A 1,688-nucleotide genomic window follows, 5' to 3' on the forward strand; every position below is an offset into this window, starting at 1 on the left:
ACATATTTTAATAATACAAAAAATGTTCTAATATAGAAAATGCCATAATATCACTATCTTGGTTAATCCCCACAGTAGCCTCACCACCAACAGGGAACATTCTTTGCATATCATAAAAGACTACTGGAGATTTATCCATTTTCTACCTCTGTGGCCACATACCTTACTTACTATACCTGTCTCAAATCCTACACTCCAACCTAACCAGATCACCAACAGTCCCTGGAAGTCACAATTTTGTCTTTATCTTTTCTTTTTCTCTAACCAGAATACTTATACCCAACTTCTTCATCCAGTGGGTATACTCATCATTCAAGACCCAGCTAAATTCTTTCCTCCTCACATACGCCTTCTCTGATCTTCTGAAAGTTGTGGCCGCACCTTCTATGTAGAAGACAGACAGTGAAAGAAAGATTTCAGAAAAGAGCTGCAAGCCATTTGAAGCCTGGAAATTGCACCAGTGATGCTTCTTAGTGAATGCTTTAGGCTTTAACCAGCCAGATCTACAACTTCTCCTTTGCAACGGAGCCAGGAAGCAGAATGGAAGAATGGACAAAAAGGTAGATGCTCCTCCCTGCAGTGTATTACCAAATTAGAATTCAGGCAGAAGTTCCCTCTCCAACATACAGTACCTAAAAAAATTTTGTATTGTACATGTGCATATAATGGATCGCAGAAGTCTGTGTTGTTCAAGTATAGTTGAACAAGTCTGTGGGCCCCTAACTCAAACATTAGGTTTATGACAGTAAGAACAATAACCTCTCCATAGCACAGGGCCTGCTATAACATAAGCACTCAATTAATATTTTTTCTTAATAAAAGTGAATGAAGGACCAAATAAAAAATAGTCTTTACATCGAATAAAAGAATACCAAGTGCTAGTGAGAATGTGGAACAAAGGGAACTCTGATCATTAGTGAGTGTCAATTGGCACAATCACATTGGAAAACTATTTGGTAGCTCTTCCTATAACTAAATGTAAAACCATGTCCCAGTAATTCTACTCCTGAGTATATACCCTAAATAAATGAGTACATATGTCCACCAGAAGACTTTGACAAGAATGTTCATAGAAGCTTCATTCAAAATAGACAAAAATTAGAAACAACCCAATTGTTCATCAACAATAAAGTGGATAAACAATGGTATATTATGGGTAGCAGAATACTACTCAGCAAGAAAAAGGATAAATGATTGCTAAATAGAACAACATAGATAAATTTTAGAAGTACAATAAAGAGCAAAAAAGACCAGACCTAAAGGAAGACATAAGGTATGATGATTCCATTTGTGAATTATGACCGTGAATATCAATACGAAGTTAAAAAACAGACTGAGAATAGGCAAGGCTGTGGTGTTGTAAATGTTCTGTATCTTGATCTAGGTGCCATTACGTGGGTGTGTGCATGTATATATGTGTGTTGCGTGTATGTGTATGTGTACATATATACACACATATACACACATGCAACACACATATACACACACATACAAATATACACATATAAAAGTTCATAAAGTTGTACATTTAAAGTTTTGTATACTTAATACATATGTTATACATATATGCAAATTTTTAACAACTTGAAGGGATTTCAGATTCATTTCATTTTCTGGTTGAACTTGAGAGAACACAGTGAGAAACTGCATCAGAGTCAAAAGTTCAGAATTAGAAGCAACACTTTCCT

General features: G+C 35.5%; 1 non-coding gene across 1 annotated transcript; it reads right to left on the reverse strand.

Annotated features, from left to right (window-relative positions):
• Nucleotides 1-1,404: 1,404 nt before the first annotated feature.
• Nucleotides 1,405-1,488, reverse strand: MIR466 (microRNA 466). Its single transcript, NR_130459.1, has one exon. It is a non-coding gene; the product is annotated as a microRNA 466 (primary transcript).
• Between the last annotated feature and the right edge of the window lie 200 nt (nucleotides 1,489-1,688).

The sequence above is a fragment of the Homo sapiens genome, chromosome 3 (genome assembly GCF_000001405.40).
Source record: "Homo sapiens chromosome 3, GRCh38.p14 Primary Assembly".
Lineage (NCBI taxonomy): Eukaryota > Metazoa > Chordata > Mammalia > Primates > Hominidae > Homo > Homo sapiens.